Raw genomic sequence first — 25904 nt, forward strand, 5'->3', positions numbered from 1 at the left:
CTACCTGTGCAGAGAGCATAGACACACACATGAACATATAGATAGAATCATGTTGTGAATAGCACTTCCAGTTTTAGAAATTTGTGAATGTGGTGATAAAGGTAAAGCACCTGAGACTGAAAGGAGTGATTAAAATCTCAGGTAGTTTAGACATGGGCAAGAGATCTAGTTAATGAGTTTGTTCCCTCTCTCCCTTGCTTTTTATTCTTTATTGCATAGAAATGTTGGTGTACCAGGCATAAAGGCCAGAGAATATTGTGGTTGTTCTTGTTCACTAAGGTGTTAATGACTTACTCTAGTTTCAGATTTTTTTTTTCTCTTCAGAAGGCTGTGCTTAAGAGGGCAGACTGTGAAATCATACTGCTTGGGTATAAATCGTAACTCTGCCACTTACTACCTGTGTGATTCTGGACAAGTTATTTAAATCTAGTGTACTTCGGTTTAGTCATCTGTGAAATGGGGATAATGATATCTGTTTCATGAAGTTGTTGAGGATTAAATGAGGCAATATATGGAAATTGCATAGATCAATGTCTGATATGTGGTGAGTGCTATATAAGTGTTGGCTTTAAACCTGTGTATCTCAAAATTCACCCATTAGATCTATATTTAACAATTACACAAATTTAAACACATGGATACATTTGCAAATATGCTGTATTCTAAGTGTAATAAATGAGAATTATTTGCCGACTCAGTCATGCTTAATTTAACTACTTTTATTTATTTTAAATGTATGAAGGACATAAATAAAATCAATTTCCCCTCTTCAACTGTTTATTTCTTTCTTGGGAAAGCAACAGTCTCTTCCTGCCAAACTTGGATATAAAAGTTATCAGTCTCTCTAGTATAACACCTTATACATGATGAGTGCTCTATACATGTTTGCTGAATATAATCAAATTCGGGAACAATCATCAGATTTACTAGATTAACTAGGCTGGGAGGTTGAGGAAGGAAAGAATCAAAGTTGATTTAAGGTGAAGCTTGAAGTAGGTGGTGGTGGTATTAATGGTAATAATAAGTGATTTGGAAACTTGTACTGTGTGACCATGGGAAAGTTACTTCTATGTGTCTTAGTTTTCTGGTCTCTAAAATTATGATAATTTTACATGTATTTTGTAGGGTTTTGGTGAAGATGAAATGTGATAATAGGTATGAAGTATTTCATTTATTGATATAATAAGTGAGAACTGCTATTATATTGTTATTTATAATAATTTGAAGTACATTTTCATGGTTATATTTCTTGATGTACAAATTCTGTTTCTAGAATGTCGAGTTATATGAGTTTGTGGAAATGTCAAGAGGCCAGGTCATCTTGGTTTCTCTGCCTTTTTAACTGTGTTAGCCAACCTACGCCAAGCTCTGGAGTAGAGTATTAAAGTACCATTGAGGTTTGCATCCTGGGGTGGGAGTAGGAGAGAGGAGTATATTGATACTCTTTTCTAAGATACAGAGTTGGTCATTCCTTAGTTTAAAAGATAGAATTGAGTTCACTGATAGGAAACCACTGATAGGAATTACATTTATAGGCATCATCAGTGATCAAGAGTTGGCATTTTAATCATGAACATTTTTCAGTTTATATGTAATCTATTATGGTAGTTATTTTTTTAAAAAAGAAGCAATATTAAGTTGAGTAGAGTTTGAGTGCTTTTTAAAAAAATGAATTGCTAAATGTCCACCATGGTTTTCTCTTCTGTCTGTATTATGGCTTGCAGAATGAAACAGTCATTTATCTTTTTGCTCTTTCTTCCCTCTGTGTTTTACAGTATCATAGAATTTTCAAAACTGAAAGATGCATTGGTTATATATGTTCTGTCTCTTTATTTCCTACATGAGGAAACTGAAACGACATGTTTGAGATTTGACCAGGTGTAGATTTGTGCTGTATGTAGAGATTTGGCTAGGCTATGTGACTAGTTAATGACAGCCTCTGGCATGACAGAACTCAGATATTCTGAATCTTATGCTAGTGCTTTTTAACCCCTTGACTTTAGTACTTCCCAACTCAAAGAACTTTACGTTTTCTGCCATATACTGAAGGAATGGGAAAAGAGAGAGGAGAAAGGTGAAAATAGAAGAGGGTCTGCAGCTGATAAAAGAGGACATGGGACATGATATGATAGAACAGTTTAGCAAGTATAGTGTATTGGGTAGAATAGCATAGAATTTAAGAGCTTGAGCATTAAAATCAAGCTGTCTTGGGTTCTATTTCTGGCACTTCTGCCTCATTGCTCTGTGACTCTGAGCAAGTTATGTGTTTTTACTTTAATCTTTTTTTCTTTTTTCATTGATTAAAAGGGGGTGGGTACTAATAATAACTTCCTCACTAAAGTTTGGGGCTTATACCTGTCAGTGGAAAGGGGAAAACCAGTTGTGTGGTGATGATTTAGCTTTAAAATACTTGATTTAGCTGCTGTATATGATTCAGCACAAGATGATATCCGGGATTTTTTTTTTATTAAGGGATAGTAATAGGTATGTTCTGAGGCTTTTTGTTTCAATACATGCTATGATTTCTGATACCTATAGCAATAAAGGGATATGAGGATTCAGTTCATTTAAAAAGCATCAGCAGTGGTTTTTTTCACAGACCAGTTGTTAAAAACAAAAACGGACCATAGACCCAACTAGGTTGAAAATGAAAATATGTGGGTACAAGGATTTAAGTATTTCTCCAGTCTTCTAAAGTTCATAGACAAAGCCATAGATTGGGGCCTTGGGATAAGGGAAACAAAAATAAATAAAAACTCAGTGAAAGTAAACATAAGCTTTCAGATTCTATGGGAAAGTAAAATCAGCCTATAAGATTATCTGGATGAGATTAATGTCATTTTTCTTGCAAATCCTGGACCATTCCTGCCAGATATGGCTAAAGGGAACTTTAATTTTGTTTAGCGCTCTCTCCATTCTTAACAGGAGTTCAGTATTTTTTCGTTAATGTGGAAGAGTTTGGCTAAGAACCTCTCTATAGTTTGTAGGTAGTGAGTTAGAAATAGGATAATAGAACCTTGGTTTTTCTAATGTGCTATCTATACAAAAAACACAGGTCATTCTGACCTCAGCAGGGTCATACTGGCTGGAGGTGTAGAAGGAACTGGTGGGTAGTTCATTTACATTTGACAGCAGATGCCTTAAGAGTGTATCTATGGGCAGAGGCAACCTGTAGTTTCCTTCCTCCAACAGAGTCCAGTGGCATAAGAACAGTATAGTTGGCCTGCTTTTAGGGAGGTTGGACTTACCCTGATCCCCCAATTTTAAGATGTTGAGATTTGTAAATGCATTCAGTTTCTTAAATGTTAAAGGTGAATAAATGTGTATCTTATAGTTCAGGAAATATGCTTAGACATGTAAGTCATATTTGCCTAAAGAGTTACTTTTTAGGCTGGGCGTGATGGCTCACACCTGTAAACCCAGTACGTTGGGAGGCTAAAATGGGAGGATTGCTTGAGCCCAAGAGTTTGAGACCAGCCTGGGCAACAAAATGAGACCCCCTCTCTACAAAAAATAGAAAAAAAAAAAAATCCAGGTCTGGTGGTGCGCACCTGTGGTCCGAGCTACTCAGGAGGCTGAAGTGGGAGGATTACATGAACCCAGGGGTTGAGGTTGTAGTGAAGAAAAAAAAAAAGTTGCTGGTTCACACCTGTAATCCCAGCACTTTGGGAAGCTGAGGCAAGTGGATCGCTTGAGTCCAGGAGTTCAACACCAGCCTCTGCAACATGGCAAAACCCCATCTCTTAAAAATTTAGCCGGGTGTGGTGGTGTTGGCTGTAGTCCCAGTTACTCGGGAGGCTCAGGCAGGAGAATCTCTAGAGCCCGGGAGGCGGAGGTTAGAATGAGCCTTACTACACTCTAGCCTGGATGGCAGAGTGAAACCCGATCTCAAAACAAAAAACAAAAAACAAACACAGCCCAAAAAACTTCTTAACTCTTTTAAGACAGCAGTGGAGATGCTGTAATTAGGCAACAAATAGTTAATTACGAAAATAATTTTCTTGGCTACTGTGAGATTCCAGAGGAGGGAGATTACTTTGGATGGTCAAGAAAGACTTAATAGAGGAGGAAGTGTTTGAGTAGACTGTTACAGGACAGATAGCATTTGAATAGGGCTGGAAGAAAGTCTGGAAATATGGAATGATGGAAACAGTACAGTGGTCTCATTACAAAATTCGGTAGATAATAAATCAGCTTACTTTGTGGGAAAATAGTACGAGATAAGGCAGGTTAACATTTCTGTAGAAAAAAATGTTATCTATTCTTTGGGAGCCAATTAAAAATAGATTTTATACACAAAATGTTTTATAAATATTAACTTACTGTGGTATGAAGAATGGATCCAAGGTGAAAGAGTGACAAAAAATAGGATGATCTGAAAAGATGGTACATGGACCCACGGATAATGAAATAAGACTTGGATTGGGAGGATAGTAATCAGATTGCAAAGTTATATAAGAAATTTCACAAAGGGGAAAACACAAAACTGGTACAACTAAGTGACTGGGAAAGATATAAAATCATGTAGACTCACTTCACCCACAAAATGGTAACTCCTGAATTAAACTTCATGTGTTTTATTTAGGCTTTGTCAAGTTAGCTATGGTTGTATTAAAACAGATTGTTTGATTTTGATAAATAGTTTTCCTTAATACATGGGAAAATCGAGTTGTGTGAATAAAGAAATATAAAATAGCTTTTACTCAGTTGTCCCATTTGTCAGCATTGATGGGTAATAAAGATTAGTGTTACTTTTTCTTCTCTAGTGTAGATATTTTCTCAAAATTGTGTGTTTGCTATTGTTTTTATTTTTGAAGGGGAAAAAGGTATACATTTTATAGCTACTAGGAGTTCAAATACAGTAATTAGAAAGGACACACGAATTTTGAAATAGTATTTTATGCCTCTTGATCTCAGGTACAATACACGAGATGAAGCAGTTAAATAGCAAAGCAAGACAGAAGGGTCAGAGAATTAAAGTAAGTGTTTTCTATATATTGCATCTGTGTTCCCATTAATCTCTGTTTTGTTATGTAACTGCTCCTTCTGAATGTTCTGAATGTGAAGAAAACTATGAGTAAGAAAAAGGGTGTGTTTTAAAGTTAGGTTTAAATAAAGCCAGAAGAGTAAAATGTTTTTACTCTTAGTTCTGTTTGAAACAGCACCTGCCTATAAATTATAACCTAAATGTTTTTGGATAAGAAAAAATTGGGTTGTGATGATGTAAGCACCTTTAAATCTCTTGCTAGCAGATATTTAAAGTGAAAGAAAGCACATACTGATCAGATTGCCCATGTTTCCATTTTAAGACAATTAAAGCTTCTGTTTTTTTCAGACTAGCCTTTCTTCCTGGGGACAACACTTACTGAGAGGCTTTGCTGTGGATCTTTTTGGAAATAACCTTCATGTCAATTTCTCACCTTACTGTGATTAACTTTCTAGGCCCATGAAATAACATCTTGATCAGGACTGATCTAATCTTTATAGTTTTCTTTTTTAATCTTCTAACTGTTCAGATTTTAAAGTTAACAAGTAAAAATCAAAGCATATTAATCTTTGAATCTTTATGTCCCTTTTTGTAATTGTTGAGGTCTTTCTTGACAGCCTGTTTAATATTTTTTCCCTAAGTTTAGAGATTGCTTATTTGTGGGAATAAAAAGTAGGGTGACACTTTTTTGTACCCACTTGGGTTTTTAAATTAATAACAATGAAATCATAACCAGCACTTGTCACAATTTAGTTTACACACTTTCATGTTACCTGCTTTGATCTTCACACGAGCTCACCAAGAAGCCATTTTTAAAATCTTCTCCATTTTAGAGGTGACAGAATTGAAGCTCAGAAAAGGTAGATAACTTATCAGATATTAAATGCTTAGGACTTTATCCAGGCTGTCTCTAAATTACTTTCCCTTTTTACTGTGTTGCATTTGCCAAATTATAAAAGAGACCCCCAGAACAGTTATTTCTACTTGTGCAGGACTTGAAGGACAGAGTCACTAGAAGTTTTTTTGTTTGTTTGTTTGTTTTTTGAGACGGAGTCTCGCTGTGTCGCCCAGGCTGGAGTACGGTGGCGCAATCTTGGCTCACTGCAAGCTCTGCCTCCTGGGTTCATGCCATTCTCCTGCCTCAGCCTCCCGAGTAGCTGGGACTACAGGCGCCCACCACCACTCCTGGCTAATTTTTTTTGTATTTTTAGTAGAGACAGGGTTTCACCGTGTTAGCCAGGATGGTCTCGATCTCCTGACCTCATGATCCGCCTGTCTCGTCCTCCCAAAGTGCTGGGATTACAGGCATGAGCCACCACGCCCGGCCTTAGAAGTTTCAGGATAACGGTACTGCCATCTTACTTCTTATAAAAGCAGTAATTCGTATTTTATGTATTAAAATAAATGAGCCATAGGATGAATCAGACAGGTTTGCTTCTAGTTTTCACCACTCTATTTGACCTTGGACAAGAGAGTTAATTCCCGAGCCTCAGATTTCTCATCTCCAAAGAGCTTTTTCTCATAGGAAGTGTGCAAGAATTAATAGAGGAAGTTTTATACAGTATTTAGCTCATATAGAAATCTATACATTGTTCTTCTTTTTACATTCCCATGAGAAATTTCATGCCCATTTTGATTAAAAAAAAAAAAAAAAAAAAGATGTTAGGAATTTTTCAAATCTTGGATGGTCACTGGAGAGGTAGCTGTTTTGAATTCTTGGAGTATATCCTGAAAAGATGATGGACTATTAGGGTTTTTAAATGCCCAACAAGAAGTTTGTTTGTTTGTTTCTTTGTTTGTTTGAAACAGGGTCTTGCTCTGTCGCCCAGGCTGGAAATGCAGTGGCACAGTCATGGCTTACTGCAGCCTTGACCTCCCAGGCTCAAGTGCCTCTCCCACCTTAGCCTCCTGATTAGTTGGGATTACAGAGGTCTACCACCACAGTTGAACTTTTGGAAAGTTCACTGTATTGCAGGTCTTGGGATTTGGAGATTATTGGGAAAAAGAAGTAGGGCAACCCACATTCTTATGAATGTAAATTTATACAAATCTATATTCTTATAACAGATTGCAGATTAATACATTCTAGGAAAGGAAGAGATTTCAGTTCCTCAAATCTGTTTAAAAGGATATGCATCTCACAAGGCATTTAAGAGACCTAAATTAGCTTATATAGGCCAAAGGATTGGTGTCATCAATAATGGTTAGATTTTTGTGTCATGTATTTTTGTTGTCATATACTTAAACACTTTTATTCTGAGAACAAGCTTGAAACGTTTCCCTTCAACATATTGAACTGATGCTTTAACCTTCTTATAAAATGAAATAATTATTTAAATGTCATTTTACATCATAATCAGTTTGTTGCTTTGTGCACGGAGCAGAGCATATTCTGGTGGTTAGGACTGGAAATTATTTTGTGATTAAATAATTAAGTGCCAGCTGTCCTGAACCAAATATCTTCTCGATGTTGGTAATACTGTTGCATCTTATTGAGTTGACTTTTCTGAGTTTTTGCTGTGTGTGTATTACTGTTTATTTTCCACTAATTTTGCCTTACTTCCTTAGATCGTTTTTCCTCAGTATCTTTCTTCCCTACTTCGAGTTTTGTAGTCTCTTGGAATTCTGTATGCACATCTTTATGTTGTTAACATGGAAATGTTTTTTTTCCCAGCTCCTTTCATTCATGAAGCTTTTACTGAGATTCCACTATTTCCTTGTCACTGAAATTAGTTGTGGAAAACAAAAATCATCAGTTTATATTTCATAAAGGGAGTCCTCATTCTTATGGGAAAAACAGAGATTATTGTACTGTAGAATGATAAAAGCTATGATAAGGATGGCCTAGGGGAGAGTAAAAGTCCAGAAATAGAAGGAATATTTGTTTATGAAACCTCCAGGACATATTGTATAGCAAGTGAAAATGATAATCTGTTTTGTAATACAAGGAACAGGGAATTTAAGCCTGAGTTCTCTCATTAGACAAATGAACTTGGTCAAATGGGTCATTTTTTCTGGACATGACATGAGGTTTCTTTTCTTTCTTTCTTTCTTTCTTTCTTTCTTTCTTTCTTTCTTTCTTTCTCTCTCTCTCTCTCTCTCTCTCTCTCTCTTTTCTTTCTTTCTTTCTTTCTTTCTTTCCATTCTTTTTTTTTATTTGAGACAGGGTCTTGCTCTGTTGCCCAGGCTAGAGTACAGTGACACGATCGTGGCCTATTGCAGCATTGAACCCCTGGGTTCAGGTGATCCTCTGCCCCTGTCTCCCAAGTAGCTGGGACTACAGGCCTGTGCTACCATATCTGGCTAATTTTTTGTAGAGACAGGGTCTCACTTAGGTTGCCCAGGCTGTTACCAAATTCCTGAGCTCAAGTGATCCTCCTGCCTTGGCCTCCCAAAGTCCTGAGATTATAGGCATGAGCCACTGCGTTCGGATGGGCATCAGATTTCTAATGTGTAAAACAAAAATTTTGAATAAGATCATAGTTTCTCAAACTGGCCTTCATAGGATATTAACAAGCAGTGTACGAATACAGAGCTTTGTGATCCAAAACATTTATGTATTAGTTAAAATTAAATAGACTTTTTTATTATTAGATTTCTTAGTTTTTAATAGGTTGTAGTAAATGATAAATCTTTAAGAAAGGAATAGAATAGGCCGGGCACGGTGGCTCACACCTGTAATCCCAGCACTTTGGGAGACTGAGGCGGGATCACAAGGTCAGGAGATCAAGACCATCCTGGCTAACATGATGAATCCCCGTCTCTACTAAAAATACAAAAATTTGCTGGGCGTGGTGGCAGGCGCCTGTAGTCCCAGCTACTGGGGAGGCTGAGGCAGGAGAATAGCGTGAACCCAGGAGGCGAAGCTTGCAGTGAGCCGAGATCGCGCCACTGCACTCCAGCCTGGCTCTGTCTCAAAAAAAAAAAAAAGAAAAGAAAGGAATAGAATAAACTTTTTCCCACATTTTTTTCCATCATAGAATTCCCTCGATATTACTTAAGAAATGTAGTTTGACTGCTAGTAGCAGTCTCAAGAAATAGTAAGTTAGGCAGTGTAAACATTTAGCTCTTAACTTAAATCTGTGATCCATTGTGAGTTTGTTTCTGTATAAGATGTCAAGTCAGGTCAACGTTAATTTTTTTTTCATAAGGCTGTCCAGTTTGCCACCACCATTTGTTGAAAAGATTTTTCTTCCCTCCCATTGAGTTAACTTGTTATCTCTGTTAAAAATCTGTTGGCCATATATGCGAGGATCAATATCTGGGCTCTGTATTGTGTTTTATTGATTTTATCTTCACACCAATACCATAACTGTCTTGATTTCTATACCTTTAAAGTAAATCTTGGTATCAGGTAGTGTAAGTCTTCCACCTTGTTATTCTGTTTCAGAATTGTTTGAACTATTCTACGTTCTTTGCATATATATATTGAAAACTTTAAAACCAGTATGTCAGTTTCTACGAAGCTGTGTAGGATTTTGATTAGGATTGCATTGAGTCTGTAGATCAGTTGGAGGGGGAACTTAACAGTGTGGAGGCTTTTGATTCATGCATATGATATATCTCTATATTTAAGTATTTACTTTCCATATATATGTATATATATGTGTGTGTGTGTGTGTGTGTGTGTGTGTGTGTGTGTGTGTGTGTGTATATATATTTTTTTTTTTTTGGCAAGGCTTTGCTCTGGCGCCCAGGCTGGAGTGCAGTGACATGATCTCTGTTAGTATTTTTAGATAGTTTTTAGTGAACAAGTCTTGCACATTTTCTGTTTAATTTATTAACTAAATGTTTCATAATTTTTGATGATGTTATAAGTATTTTTAATTGCATTTTTTGGATTACAGGCTGCCGCCACTGCACCTGCCTAATTTGTATATTTTTTTTTTAGTAGAGACAGGGTTTCACCTTGTTGGCCAGGCTGGTCTCGAACTCCTGACCTGAAGTGATCTGCCTGCCTCGGCTTCCCAAAGTGCTAGGTTCACAGACGTGAGCTACCACACCTGGCGGATCTGTAGTTTTTTAAAAAAAAAAAAACGTTTGCATGTACTTTCTTAAGAATTTGTTATGCTAATCCTGGCTTGAAAGAATTAGTTGAGAAGTATTACTTCTTCAAATTTATTGACAAGATTGTGAATAATATTTTCTTCTTTTTAATTTTTTATTAGTTACCTATTGTTAACTAGGTACCAGAAACTTAAATAACACATTTATTGTCTCGTCTATGAGATGGGGGAAATATAGTATTATTCGATATATAGGTTAATATAGGTTAAATTAACTGACACAATGCATGGATATTCTTAACACAGTGCTGGTACGTAGTATGTACTCAATAAAACTTAGTTGTGATGATCAAAATGACACCAGAGGTGCTTATTGACACTTTATTTTCCAGTTATCAATATGTTTCATTTTGCTTTAGGGTATTCTTTAGCAAATCTTAATGCGACTTCTGCCTGCCTAACAGTATTTGTTCTGCTTTTGGTGCTCCCATTTGAAGCTGTGCTGGTGTATTAGCATCTTCTAAACTATTCATACAAAACCCAGCAAGTTTAACTTGTAATTTGGCGGACTGGTTTGTACCTCATTTAAATTTTTACTGTTTATTATCATCCTGTCCCCTAGACTACTAGGGAGTCCAATGGTACTAATCAAACCTTGGAAGCTATAATGTGGTACATGCATCTCAGGCCCAGACCTCATGAAAAGGTTATTCAGTTTATTAATATATTTTCAGATAATGTCTCTCTCTTCTTGTGACTTCTTGTGACTGTAAGCTCCTTGAAGGCAAAGGCTTTTATTTATTCTTGCATCCTATCATCTGGCACAATGCCTAATGTATTATAGGCAGTACTACACATATATACATATGCATTATCACACTTCCATATGCATATTTTAATTTCTTTAATTTCATTAATAACTAGATTGACATGAAAAGATAGGTAAAAAAATAAGATGAGTGTTGAAGGAGAAAATGGGGGCTAAAAATCGAGAGCAGGTAAGACGAGAAGATGAAGTATCAAAAAGCACACCTGGCATTTAGGATATAGATTGATAGTATGCATTACAAATATTAGAACTCAAAGCAGACAAGAAATCCATTTCGGTTATTGCTGCTGATGAAAACCATCGTATTTGATCACATAGATAACTCAGTTTATATCACAATTAGCTTTAGTTTCCTTAGGAAGGGTATAAGAAAAGAAAGGTAATGCTGTGACCTTTTGTTATCAAAGTAATGCTGGTCTTCTATATTTGTAAGTATCTGAAAATTTTATATTATGTGCAAATGTAATTAACTCATTATATTTTCGTAAGTATGTGAAAAGTTTGTATTGGGTGCAAATACAGTAAAGCAGTATCAGTTTGGACTAAATGTCTGAATTGAAGTGTAATTTTATTTTTTAGGAAATAACTGCTTTTTACTTTTAATTACATGTATTAGCTGAAACTATTCCAATAAAGTAATGCCACTTAAACGTGCTTCACAGTTTACATACACACATCAGAATAGAGTTTTTCTCTGGTAATGGATCAGATAGTTATTTCTTTGATTGTGTACTAGGTGAAGATGCTGACTTGTGTTTTCATACCATGTTATATGAAGAATACTATTTCTCACACTAGAATCATGGCCATGGAAGGAGATGCTTCCACTGAGAAGCATTAAAAAATCCATGAGAATTGCTGGCACTTCCACATCTCATGCTCACTCCAGGATACAAACCATGCTTTTTGGTAGAGTAGGGATGGAGTGGAACAGTACTTTTTCTGCTTTCATTTTTTATAAATTCACATAGTTTGATTAGATCAATTGACGTAAGATACGAGTCAGTATATCTGGACACACAAATAACCACAAAATCCCTCCGCTGTGTGATTTTATTCAATTCTAGTAGATGTTTCTCAAACTGGTGAATGAGTAGCCCCTGGCGGTTGTTCCTCAGCCTTGTTCTCTAACGTGGTTAGAGAAGGAAATGCCTTTACTTACTGATTTTTTCAGTGAAAGGAGACTGACAACCATGCAGAAATAAGTAAAATGGTCTTTAGTTACAAAAGTGCTATGGAAATGAGAGGGTAGTGTATTTAGAATTTAATTCCTTTGTTCTTTGTAGCAATAAGGACTAACCTGAAGAGATATTTTCTTTAAATAAATCTATAAAGTATTAACATATTAATAGGAAGACTCACAGATTCTAAATCTGTGATTTTGGTATATTTAAGGAGACTTAAAGATCATTCTAAAAACGCTTTCTCAAATTAAAACAGCAGCTTTCTTGAAAAATAATTTAGATGCTCTTTCAAATTGAAAAATTACAGAAGTTCAAAATGAGGAAGTATTCCACTTCCAAGAAAAACCTGATTAGTTACTTCAGTAAGCTGCTCATTGAAAATAAATGTCTCTACTGACAGGATTATATTTTAGTTTTAAGAAGCTAATTTATCATTTAAAGGTTATCTCTAAAAGTTAGGTTTTGTATATCTAATGTACTCACAGTTACACCTACCTCTCATAACTTGATAGTGAAACCTTTCTGTTTTTCAAAGGGAGTTCCAGCATTTCAGCTGCTGAGCACTCTGCAAGAGAAACTGTATACTGTACATCAGAAAGCAGGGGTACTGTCTGCCTTTGATGTTAAGTAGAAATGAAGACTTCCTTCATTGCCGGTTCTTTGTTGGATTATTCACATGGCACCTGTGTCCTTTAGCCAGATAATCACTGTTGATTTCAGAGATCTAGGAATTGAGGAAGGGGATAATAGGTCTGTCTCTTAACAAGCCGTTTTGCATTCAGTTGCTATTTCTGGGAAGCTTCAGTACTGCAGAACGAATCACAGAGTCCCTGAGGAAGATTAGTGCCCCCTATCATGCTGTTTCTCTTGTTGAGCATTCAATTGATGTTGGATTTAGGGCCCTGACCCAAAAGATTTTGATATCTCTGTGAATAATTTCCTTTTTTGCAATTGTCAGTGCATTACAGCTAGGCCATTCGGATGCCTTTTATTAGAATGGAGTTACATAGCCTTTCCCAATTAATTATAATGAATATTAATTCTTAACTATAATTGCCAAATCATTATCATAAACTTTAACATAAGGGTACTCAACTACTGGCTCTGACGCTGTAGAAATTTGCCTCTAGGTTTTTTGAGGCCTCTGTATGCATTTTCCATGGGAATTATGTTAGCATCCCAGAAGACTACTGTACCTATTCCCACCTTGGGCAAGAGAAAAGTTCTGCGGTAGATAAAAATGTCTGCAGTAGATGTTCACTTAGCAGCGGAGGTTTTTCCATTTCCCATTTTGTTTGTGGCTTCATGAGAGTCCCCCAGTCCAAACAGTTTACTAAAGCTCTTATGACTGTCTCCACTGTTGTGAGCACCATTTGCCAAACTGGGTAGTTAAATTTTGTTTTGTTTTGTTTTGTTGTTGCATTTTCCTACTTTCATTCCTTTATTCTTATGAATTACTGTTTGAACAGATTTATTCTTCATTTTGTATGGCTTCAGCCTGTCATTGAGCCATTCAGTTCACAATAGTTCTATCGGGGAGCAGTTATTACTAGAAAGGCAGCATTTCATGGTGGGCTCTGGACAGACAGCCTGGATTCAAATCCCCATCCTACTATTTACTGTTAGACTTTGGGTGATCTGTGTAAATTTTCTGTGCCTCTTGCCTCATCTGTGGAATGGGAATAATAGTAACTAGTTCATAGTGTTGTAAAGATTAAATGAATAAAGCCTTTAGCCCAAGTTCTGGCAAATGGTATCGCCAAATGTATGCTCATGCTATTATTATTTTTATTATAGTAGTAGTTATTACTTTTTAGTTGGAGCCTCACTCTGTCACCCATGTTGGAGTGCAGTGGCGTGATCTCAGATCACTACAGCCTCTGCCTCCTGGGTTCAAGCGATTCTCCTACCTCAGCCTCCCAAGTAGCTGGGACTACAGGCGCATGCCACTACACCCGGCTAATGTTTTTTGTTTGTTTGTTTGTTGTTTTTGTTTTTTGTATTTTTAGTAGAGACAGGGTTTCACCATGTTGGCCAGGCTGGTCTCGAACTCCTGACCTCAAGTGATCCACCAGCCTCAGCCTCCTAAAGTGCTGAGATTATAGGCAAAAGCCACTGCACCCGGCCCATGCTATTATGGTTAGTACTGTTACACAAAACCTCAAATTAGGGAGGATGAGTGAAGATTCGGTAATATATTCCTGGAAGGAACCACTGATCTATCAGCTGTGGCTTATCTACTTTCACCTTCAAGGAAATGAATCTAGGCCAGGGATTTAGCACATATGTGAGCCAGTTATTAAATAAACATTGTTTCACTATTATACTTTTAATTGGAACTTACCCTTAAAGATGATTGGCTTTAGTCATGGGGCAGGAAGAGGGAGTGTAAATAAGTGGCTCATGGTCAACTGCCCTGACTAGTAACAGAATTCAAAAGTACTGTCTTAGTGGTTCCTACCAAGATATGCAGTACTATTTTAATCATGAACTGTGTATTATTACGGCCATGGGTCAGATTCTAAAAGTCAGCAGCAGCCAGTCTTGTTGCCATGACTCTTAACAGTCCACACAACACTGGCTATCAAGATAGGATACCAGTGACAAACTAAAAATATATGGTATATCTTGCAGATTTTAATCTATTGGTGCCTGGAGTAATGTATGCAACTTTATAGAAACTTAAGATGAACCGAAGAGGCTAGCAAAGATTAACTCATTTAACAAATGTGTCTTGAACATTTTTTATGGCAAAGGACTGCCTTTGGACCCAGGCCAAACTATTTCAGATAAGAATATAGCTACACTAACGGTTAAGTGAACTGATAAGGAAATGTAATCATGATTGCTTTGCTTTTTATCATTTGGGAAGTGTGTCACAAATTACATACAACTTACAAGGGGATTTTGGAAGCCACCTTTCATAAGTTTGGAGCTTTCATGATGCAGCAAGAGATATGAGACTTTCCCCCTAAATGATAACATATTTCTATTCTAGAGAACAGTTTGGCAATATCTAGTAAATTTGAACACAAGCATACCTTGCAAACCAGTAATTTCACATTTAGATAATTGACCCCAAGAGAAAATTTCATATAAATTCGTACAAGGAGACATATTCCTAAAATGTTTATAACAACCTTATTTGTAATAGGGAGAAATTGGAGGCAAGCTGAATGTCAATAGGGAATTGGATAAATTGTGGTATGTTTATAAATAGAGTATTCTATAGGAGTGACATGTATATACCAGTGCTACACGTTGTCAGCATACATCAGTCTTATATATTGAATGTTAACTGAATAAAGAAAAAGAGATACTATTTAGAAACATAAAAAGTGATGCTATATATCATTTAGATAATAATATGTAATGAAAGTATTAAGTAATGTGTGAAAATGATAAAAAACAAATTTAGGATAGTGTTTGCTTCTAATGGGAATTATAATTACATAGGGGTTTAAACTATACTGGTAATGTTCTATTTGTTGAGTTGTGGGCACATGACTTTTTATTATGTACATTTTAATATGTCTGGACTAGTTTAGAAACATTTAAAAATTGAAAGAAAATGTGTCTTGTTGATGTTTGCATTTCAGTGGAGATAAAAAGAGATTTTTTTCCTGCTTACTTGATGCGATTTTTGTACATTCTCTCGTTTCTACAATGGGTATATGTTATTTTAATCATGTTAAAGGAAAATCTGAGAAATAATATATCTTTTAGAAAAATAAACGACTGTTTTAGGAATTTTTGGAAAATATAGGCAAATGAAAAAAATACTAACACTTTTTATAATTAATTTTCTAGTCTTCTTTCTATAAACTTTATTTATTTGTTTTTAATTTTTAAAAATTTTTTGAGATGAGCTCTGGCTCTGCTTCCCATGCTGGAATGCAGTGGCGTGATACTGGCTCACTGCAGCCCCCAACTCCTGGGCTCAAGGGATTCTTCTATCACAGCCTTCCAAGTAGCTGGGACTATAGGTGTATTCCACCATATCTGGCTGATTTTCTTGTATTTTGTAGCACCAGAGTCTCGCTATGTTGCCCTGGTCTTGAACACCTGGGCTGAAGTGATCCTCCCACCTCGGCTTCCCAAAGTATTGGGATTACAGGTGTGAGCGACTGCACCCAGCTCTATAAATTTTATAGAAGTTAAGCATTATTGTATATTCTTTTTTCCTCCTATTTTTCCGGCCTGTTGTTATAAAATAAACATTTAATATATGGGACTGGTATTTTAAAGTTACTTTAAAATATGTTATCCTCTGAATGTAAGAACATGGTTTTGCTCATTGGCTGATGTTCTCTTTTCTTGCAATTAGTTGTTGCTTCTTAAGCATGGGTTTTAATAAAATTATATTGTACCTTATGTTTGATTTATTTTAACTGATTTTACAAATATCAGGAAATAAAAATATATACGAGCAGTTATATGCTCAGTGATAATACTGTTGATTTATAGTAGTAGAAGATAAAAGCTTTAAATTATGTAAAATGTGAGATTTTCTTGGGAGGGGGACAGTAACATTTTAACTGTTAATTTTACTGGTTGTATATAGTATGTGATAGGCAGATTTATGAACACGACAGTGGAATTATGGTTTTACAATGTGAGCTCTTTAGGATTTGATGTAGTGCTAGTGAGTGCTAGTGGTACTACAAAAAGAAATAATAGGGCTAATACTGTTTTACAATGTACCGGGTCCTGTGACTTACAGGATAATATAAACCAGTTCTTGCCAAACTTCATTTTGTTTATAAATCTCCTTTAAATCTTGTTAAGATGCAGATTCTGGATTCACTAGGCCTAAAACTCTGCCGGAGCTTCTGCATTTCAACAAACTCCCAGAATTTGCCAATAAGTCAGTTTTAAGGACCACATTTTTAGTACTGAGGATGTAGATTAGTGCTTCTCAAACTATCTGCAAAAGACTAGCTTTTAAAAGATACTATCTAGTATTTCACAAAAGAATACTTCTTGGAAATAAACTAAAGAATATATAGAAGGCAAAGGGAGAAAATTGTATATTAATTGTATATTATAAATGTATATTAAATGTATATTAAATGTATATTATGAAATTGTACATTAATGTGAATGTAATCTTTCAATAAACCTTTTACAGGTATAAAGTTAGTACATTAATTTAGAATAAACTGTTTCCTAAAAAATGTTTAGATATGTCACACTATATAGTACAGTTTTTAAGGACAGGTAATTTTATAAAAATACTTGCCCTTGTGCTAAGCAGCATCTCATGTATCCAGCATATTTTTTGAATATTCTATTTCTAAAAGTTTTTGATTCTCCTCTTCCTCCTAGGCCAGTTCAAGACTCGCTCTTCCTTCTTGGATTAGAGTAATTCTATAAAACTACTTAGCATTCATGAATAAAATGTTACCTGAAGAGATTATTCATCCTCTCAACAAAAACTTAAGCACTTCATTACACACAAAATTCTATGCTAGTCTCTTTTTGGATTATGAAGAGGAATAAAAAGTTCTTGCCCTGTAGAAATGTATGGACCTGGATGACAGAATCTATCTCCCTGTTAAGAAATTTTATTATATGTTAGTATTGACCTGTTAAAGGATATCAGAATCTTAAAATACTATTAAGTAGCTGTTTCCGATGTAGACCTGATTCATTAACTGGGGTAGTGTTTATTTTTCAGTCATTCATTACATTAACAGATTAGTCACCTACTACATGCCCGTTAGTGTGCTTGTCCCTTGTGAGAGATTAGTGAGTGGTAACTAGAGATATAATTCCCGCTCTCACATAACAGACTGTTGTGATCAAGTCAACCCACTTGACTTTTTCATAGTTGTGTTTAACTGAGAGAGACAGTGACATTCAAGGATTTGTTTTAGAAAGTATAGCGTTATTTATCTAGACATTAATTTTGGCAATTTATGATGGGGTAAGTGAAGAAATACAGTAAGAACACTTTTCTCTCTTTGAAACTGCATTTATTCTTACTTTTTTAACTTTCCATTTTATTAATATTTCACTTTGAAGCATAAACACTTATTTATATCCAGGCCTCATCCAGAACTTTCTGATGGCTTATGGGTTTTGGCCGATTCTTCTGGCTTTTGCCCACTTAGAGGGTGTAAGATTTCGGTAATTGGTGGGAAATCTTGTAGCTCTTTGAATACCAGAAACCCGTGGATACTTGTTCAATCCGGTTAGATAAGCTAGTTTCTTACCACCTTTCTTTCTGATAGTTACCCTGAGGTCTATGGAGAAACTGATTGGACATTTATAATATCTAAAACTCAGCAGCATTTTAAAGATTTAGCAGCTAAAACCTCCTCCCCTCCCTTTGTCATTTGTTCAGCACCTGCTATGTATGTGGCAGGCATCATTCTGAGGATGTCATTGTTGGGGGAAAAAGAAAAAAAATAGGGTCCCTGTGCTCTCAGAATTTGTAAGACATAATCTCTAACTTGGATGATGATGATAATAATAATAATAATAATAATAATAATATAATGACTAGTGTTTATTATGTGCTTACTATGTGCCAGGAACTTTTCCAAGTGCTACATATATTTACTTATTTAATCCTTTTGTAACAACCTGTGAAGTGAACGCATTCTTATTACCATCATCTACATTTTACAGATAAGGAAACTGAGATAAGAAAGTTTAATATGCCCCATGCCACATAGCTTGTATGTACCAAAGATGGAATTACCTGCCAGTCTGGCTCCAAAAATTTCATGTTTATCCACTACACTATGCTGTGCAATTATAACACAAATTTAAATTATAAATTTAATTTAAATGGATAATTAAATAGGCAGTTTTAATAAGTAGGAGCCGTGCAATGATGGAGTGCTCACTGCTGTGGGAGCACAGAATAATCTCACGCAATTTGGTCTTGTTAGGGTCCAGGGAAAGCTTTCCTGAGAAAGTAATCTTTATTCAAAGAGCCTCTTTCCCTCCCTTTAAAAAAAAAAAAAAAAAAAAGGCCATTGAAAAGAATTGAAAAATTTTTTAATAGAATTTTAAAAACAGTGGTTTCTTTTTTTTAAACTGATTTTCATACAAAGAAATAACAACATAGGTTTGTAAAACTGTAAGTGTATTCTGAACTGGGAAAGATCCTCTGGTGATGATACTCTATAAATTGGATGAGATAAATTTTTTAAATGAGCCGTTTTAAAAATTAGCCAAAAGAAAAAATTCTTGTATTTTTGAGGTGAGAAACCAGATAAGAGTACTATTATATAAATAATACTAGGTGTGTTCTCTCCCTCTGTCTCCCTCTGTCTCTTCCCCTCTCTCTCCCTCTGTCTCCCTCTGTCTCCCTCTCTCTCCCTCTGTCTCCCTCTGTCTCCCTCTCTCTCCCTCTCCCTCTCCCTACCCCCCTGCTCACCTTGGATACAACAAAATATTTGATTGCCCACATTTTGGGAGGCCAAAATGGGAGGTTCACTTGAGCCCAGGAATTCAAGACTAGCCTGGACAACATAGGAGACCCCATCTCGACAAAAAATAAAAATATTGGCTGGTCGTGGTGGTGTGTGCCTGTAGTCCCAGTTACTCAGGAGGCTGAAGTGGGAGGATTGCTTGAGCCCAGCAGATTGAGGCTGCGTTGAGCTGTGATCATGCCACTGCACTCCAGCCTGAGCAACAGAGCAAGACCCTGTCTCAAAAAAAAAAAAAAAATTTATATATATATATATTTGATTATGTGCTGTTTAGTTTAAATATGGAAGCTGCTTTGATCACTTCAGGTCTGTTGTCATACTGTAGCAGGGGTTAACATTTCTAAGTTCCTGCATCAGGAAATGAACATAGAGAAAAGTATGAAATCTACTTTATAGACCACATTTTATAATATCAAAGCTTTTATGAAGTATTATGCATTCATAGATGGAATTATTTAAGATTTACCAACCAAATTTTAGACAGATTTTAAGTATAGAAATTAATGGTTTTTGTAATCTTGCCATGCATCAACTGATTTTATCAATTATTAATATCTTGAGTGCTTTCCATTTTTATAAGATGGGAACAGTGATTGTTTAGGTTGTATTTGGAAATATTTTGGTGTTCAATAGCATATTGTGGCTAAAAGGCTGGTGTAATAGATAATTCTGATAGTATTGCTCTGTCCTTCATAATGTATGTCATCTCATGTATTAAAAAATCTCGTTTATCTTAGTTGCTATTAACAGAATTCAAGATCTTAATTAGGAGTCCTGGGAGCCATGTTTGACCCCTTTTATTAGCATAGTAACTTTCTATCAATTTGAAATATGCAGCATGATCATTGTATATTTAATGATGTCACTGATTTACTTCCTTTATATTTTAAAATTGAAATAGCATTCATTTACTGGTCCCATTGGTTGATCCACTCGGGCTCCAACTTAACCATTGTTTGCTTGGTTTTTGTTCTTTTCTTGTCACTGCAACCACTCCCTTAGGCCATTTACCTTCAACCTATGTTCTCCAGCCTGTTGGAAGTTACTACATTATTTTGCTTTGTTCTCTGCTATTCTGTCAGCCCCGTGAGTGCTCTGGTTTATGACATTTTCCCCTTTTGCTCTATGAGCAGCCATGCTTGTTGCCTAACTCTATGTGGTATTTCAGAAGAAGTTTAAACTCCTAGTCAACTAACCTATTTCTTTCATTGGGGCTATATTTGACAGCTAAGCTACCTTCTACTTTTAAAACTACATGGATGATTACATACATACATAAAAATATTTTGCTATTCTAATTGCTTTAGTTTTTTTTTTTTTTTCTTTAAACTGTGGGGTTTCTCCCTAATTTATTCTTATCTGGAAATTTCTGGTGTTTTAATATGGTTTCAGTGGGGGGTGCCTGGCTGTCACCTTTCTAGACCTTTTTACTCTGTGTTTATGAAAAAGATCTTTATTCCAAGTTGTGTAAGTTCTTGCTACTAGTAGTGTAGTTGATAAGCCAGCAGCATCAGCATCACCTATTTGTTAGAAATTCAGAATCTTAAGTTCTACCCCCAAGACCTTATGCATCTTAATCTGCATTTTAGCAAGATCTCTACTCGTTTGATAAGAACATTGAAGTCTACAAAGCATTGCTGTAGGTATCGGTCAACTAGATGATACATTGACGTGCTAATAGTTGTACATTTCTACAACTGATTTTAAACATATGACTTGTGATAATCGTATTTAAATATTTGTGAATTATTTCATAACTATTCATCTTGTTTCACCAAAAGTTATACTATGGGTGGGTATTACTACTACTGTGTGAAAGGAATGACAGGAATAATCCCAAACAGTAGCTACCCCCAGTCCTTGAAGTGAAGTTTTGGTGTACAGTTGTATGCGATGTAAAACTGTGACAAACATTTTGCAACTCTATTTGTCCCTTCTCCCAGCATCAGTTTGCACCTGTAGATGAAGAACTATTATTCCTTTCTTGTCTCTTGGACAGTGGCTTTTAAACAAAGTTCCATTTGCTAAATTGAACCTCTAAGGTGTTGGGGAAAATATCTAATTTTCATCCTTAAATCAGAGAAATTGTGCCTTACTGATACTTGATATGTGGATTAATAGTATATGCATATAATCTCAGTAAATAGGTATTGAGGATTCATATCCAACTCTTGCTTGTATTTGAGGAAAAAAGTCTATAGGCTCCTATTTTCTGGTGCACTGTGAAAATCCCAGTCATTAGCAGTGGGAACAGCAAAAAAGTTAGGTTAGCAGGGTAAAAGACACTACATGTAATCTAATCTATAAAGTTAATAAATTGTGTGTAGTCATTTAGCAACACCATAAATACATTTCAAACTTAGATATATTTGTATAGTGGTGCTTTAGGAAATAGTTTTTTTTTTTTTTTTTTAACTGTAGTGTTTTTACTTTTTGTTGTTCAAGAATGAAGAGAACTGGGAGGATACAAAATTGCTCTTTCATTTGCCTTTAGCATTCAAATGTGTAGCGTGAACAATGTAGCTGTTCCGCAAGCACATTTTAATTGGCATTTTTCTACAGTAGTATTGCTGTAGGATGACAAACAATATTTAAGTGAGTATTTTTATAGGTTTTGATGCCTTCCTTTGACTGTGTGCCTAAGAATGGCAGTGGGAAGGGTGGCAGAGAGAACACCCAGATGTACGTGAGATAGTGATTTGTCCCTTAGTATTCATTTTAAGTAGTAAAAGCAAATTCTATGGGCCAGGCATGGTGGCTCAGGCCTGTAATTCCAGCGCTTTGGGAGGCCAAGGCTGGAGGGTCTCTTGAGCCCACGAGTTTGAGACCAACCTGGGCAACATAGTGAGACCCCATCTCTTCAAAAAATTTTAAAAATTGATTGGGTGTGGTGGTGCACTACTGTAGTTCCAGCTACTCCTGGGAGCCTGAGGTGGGAGGATCACTTGAGCCTGGGAGGTTGAGGCTAGTCAGCAGTGATCACGCCACTGCACTCCAGCCTGGGCAACAGAGCGAGGGCCCTGTCTCCAAAACAAAAACAAAAACAAAAACAAAAAAATGGTAAGCTCTGTGGAGTGACGTTAGCTAAGAGCCATACTATTGTGTATATAGGGTCTACTAAATGTGGCTGTATCAGACAGGACTTATGGTTATAGTTACCAGAGAACACTTGTGGTCATAAGTTGTGAATGGCACCCAGATTCTTCTTGAATATCTATCACATGTCTATCAGTAATTCTGAAGTATGTAAAAATGAAACAAAGATTTATTTGGGAGTTAGCACTCCAGAAGATTAGTGTTAAAACAGAACAGCAGAAGGAGTTGTGACATGCATCTATAAACAATTGTAATGATTTGACAGTTATTTAGCCCTCTATTCCTAGCCCTTTCATTGAACTGACAGCATGCCTGCAAAGATAGTGAGGCCTGTTTCAGCCACATTAATGTCCTCTTAAATGGTAGCCTGCAGTCTGGGGAATGATAAATGTTCAGTGATTGATGATTTTTTTAGTCCCCGGGGATTCTGGGTGGTTTCAGGTTTCTGTGAGCCAGGGTAGTTTTTTCTCTTACTTGGGCTTCGTATACGTTTTTCCGGTCTTTACCATGTTGGTTTTAGATTGGCAGAGATATATATGACCTGCAGTTTTAATTAATAGAGTTCAAAGCCTTGTTTAGAAACAATATGATTTTGGAGGTAATGCTGTACTTAAAGAGTGCGTAAAAGTCTGAGAACCAGGACAGGTTTCATCACGTAGTAATTTTGTAACACTTGTTTTTGTTTGTAAACTTTATCTTTTTTCCCCTTTGCTTTAAAAAAATATGTTTTAAACTATAAGGAGAAATGTAATAACAGCTACTGTGAAAAGTAACATTAGCTTTATTGTTTTTAATGGTGTTTGTAATTTCATTCTTAAGAATTTAAATCAGCTATGTTTAATAATTGTTTTACTTTTTACATGGCTCAGTTTCTGTAGGAGTATATATTGTTCTACTACAGTAGTATTAAAATGAGTATAAACAGACCTTTTTTGTTGAATATTTGCCATTTAGGAAAGGATTCATTTCTAGCATATTGATTGTGAATTAGTTTTAGTATTTTAAGTCACTTGTAATTGCCTAACGCTTTATTTTTAGGGTCTGGGGGCAGGGAGTGAATAGGAGGATAAAGATAAGCATTTCCCTAATTTATTACAACTGAGAAATATATTTTCTTAATTTATTTTAAAAAATCCATTGTACTTTCCCTTTGGATGTAAAGTAATCTTAGAGGTAATTTTAGTAATAGTTTACAGAATTCTTATAGCTCCCCATCCCATCAGAAGAGCTGATGATACTTTGAAAACATTCGTGCTCATGGTTAGTGTTTATTTATAGAAACCCACTTTTCTTTACGATCAATAAAGAAAATGTTTTTTGACTTAAAATCTTAAAAGGAATAAAAGAAGCACTTCTGCTGTTAGCTTTTCAAATAATGAACAAGAAACTTGGTCAGAAATGACCATGTGTAAGTCTGTATATTAATTAGGTGAGTGTCATTATGCTCAATTAGCGGGACTGCCAAATAATCTCTTTAATACTCTGATCTTTTTCTCCCCCTAGGGTTTTACAGACAGCCCTCATTACAGTGATCACTTGAATGACAGTCGATTAGGAGCCCATGAAGGCTTGTCCCCAACACCTTTCATGAACTCAAATCTGATGGGTAAGTTGGTAATTCTCTGCAAGTAGTCTTCTCAAAGCTTCTTTGGTCAGAGACATTTTTTATCCCTTTGTCCAGGAGGGACAGGTAAGTATCTAGAAGAAAGTTCTTGAGTTTCTAGGGGCATCTAGGGCTTTTCTTGTTCAGCACAGCTTGAGGATCAAATGTCCAGAAAATTTGGGGTCTACTCTTAAAGCATTATTGTTTTGGTGTCAAAAAAAGAAGTGGCAGTGTTTTGATTGTCAGTTTTGGCAATGTCTTTGTGACCTCAAGCATTACATGTTTTCTGGGGCAGAGAAGTATTGTTTTAGGGGCATTTGTGATGTTACTATTTCTCTTAACAGTTGTATTATGTTGTAATTAAAAATGTGACATAGCAGTGATTTTAGGCAGACTTTACTTGCATTGGACAATATTTCTCCTGGCACAATTTGATTAAAACATAGTATATTTAGATATTGCAGCATTGTTTTAAGCACTTGGCTTCATACTAGGACTTTTTTGAAGTTTTGGTTTGAAGAAGTGAAGTTGCACTTTCAAGAAGGGTATGCACTACCATCTAAACTTGATTTTTATGTTTAGGCAAAACCTTTGTGGTTAATCATGCTCTGCAAAACACCCCTCCTTTCCTTTCTCCTTCTCTGTCTCAAATGAAAGTTTAAAGTTGTTCAGTCTAAAATTATAAACCCAAGCTTGTTTTTTTCAGTTTGAATACCATTTTTTTTTGTGTAAATATTTTACCCTTTTGCAAAACCTGATTGAAAATAATCTGTATGTTTTATGATTTTTTTTCTTGCTTATGCTGGGGCTGAAAATATTACAAAAACTTTTATCTGTTTTACCAGTTATAACTGTTTTTACCAGTTATGGCATCATATAAATATGGAAAGTTTGTGTAATTGACATTGATTTCATTACTTACTTTATTTCTTAAGGACATGACCTATATTGTGATCTTAGAATCGTCCTTTTAAGACACAGCCATACTAATCTGAGTAGATTACCCAAATCCCAAATCCTGGTGGTCTGCAATTTATTTAAAATGATTTGCTTTGCACAGTCTTTGTTTCCCTTATTCTCTATAGTGTCGAGGAGACAGAATCTGATAGTCTAGTGTGGATTTTGCCGAAGGCGGTTGACAGTTTGAAGCCAGAAGAACCATTAGAGTATGACAGAAGAGTGAAAAAACTGACACAAGCAATAAAACTTGTGTTTAAAATCACAATTTGTTTCAGCGTAAATAAATGCACATAGAAAATCATGGTATTATATGTATTATCATTCCAGATAAAAAAATCAGAGTTAGGTTTACAATAAATTATTTGGCTAGGGAAAACTTTCTAATTTATTTTTTAAATTTTCAATTGAGCTTGCCATCAAAGTAAAATCGATATAACACTCCAAATTATTTCCTTTCGGAGTACAACTTTTCCCCAAGTAGGATTTAATTTATATTAAGTGTAGTAGGGCAAGTAAAAGTCCGTGTTTTTGTAATTTTGGATTAAACTAAGCTTTCTTAATTGAGAATATAACTCTGAACTGTGAAAAATCAGAAATTGCTCTTTTTGTATTTATGTTCTTACCTTTATTCTTCACTCATAGAGATGACTTTTAGGCCCAATGGAATTTCATCATTAGTACAGCTTTGTACCAAGGTGACGATTAAAATTTTGTACGGGACAAGTGTGGAAATTAAATGAATCCTAAGAGGTATGCATGTCAGTCAGTTGCTCTGAGCAGATGTTGACTAA

General features: G+C 35.6%; 1 protein-coding gene across 24 annotated transcripts in view; it reads left to right on the forward strand.

Moving 5' to 3' along the window:
• TCF12 (transcription factor 12) overlaps positions 1–25904 on the forward strand; it is a 373221-nt gene that overhangs the window by 149646 nt on the left and 197671 nt on the right. For 22 of the 24 annotated variants that reach the window (NM_001322151.2, XM_011521960.4, XM_047432971.1 and 19 more), the window contains one exon: positions 24054–24156. In NM_001322151.2, coding sequence (NP_001309080.1) covers positions 24054–24156 — 103 coding nt within the window. Of the gene's footprint in view, positions 1–4917; positions 4980–24053; positions 24157–25904 lie in introns of all 24 variants that reach the window. The other 2 variants (NM_001322156.2, NM_001322158.2) reach the window with 1 other exon arrangement.

Source organism: Homo sapiens, chromosome 15 (genome assembly GCF_000001405.40).
Source record: "Homo sapiens chromosome 15, GRCh38.p14 Primary Assembly".
Taxonomy (NCBI): domain Eukaryota; kingdom Metazoa; phylum Chordata; class Mammalia; order Primates; family Hominidae; genus Homo; species Homo sapiens.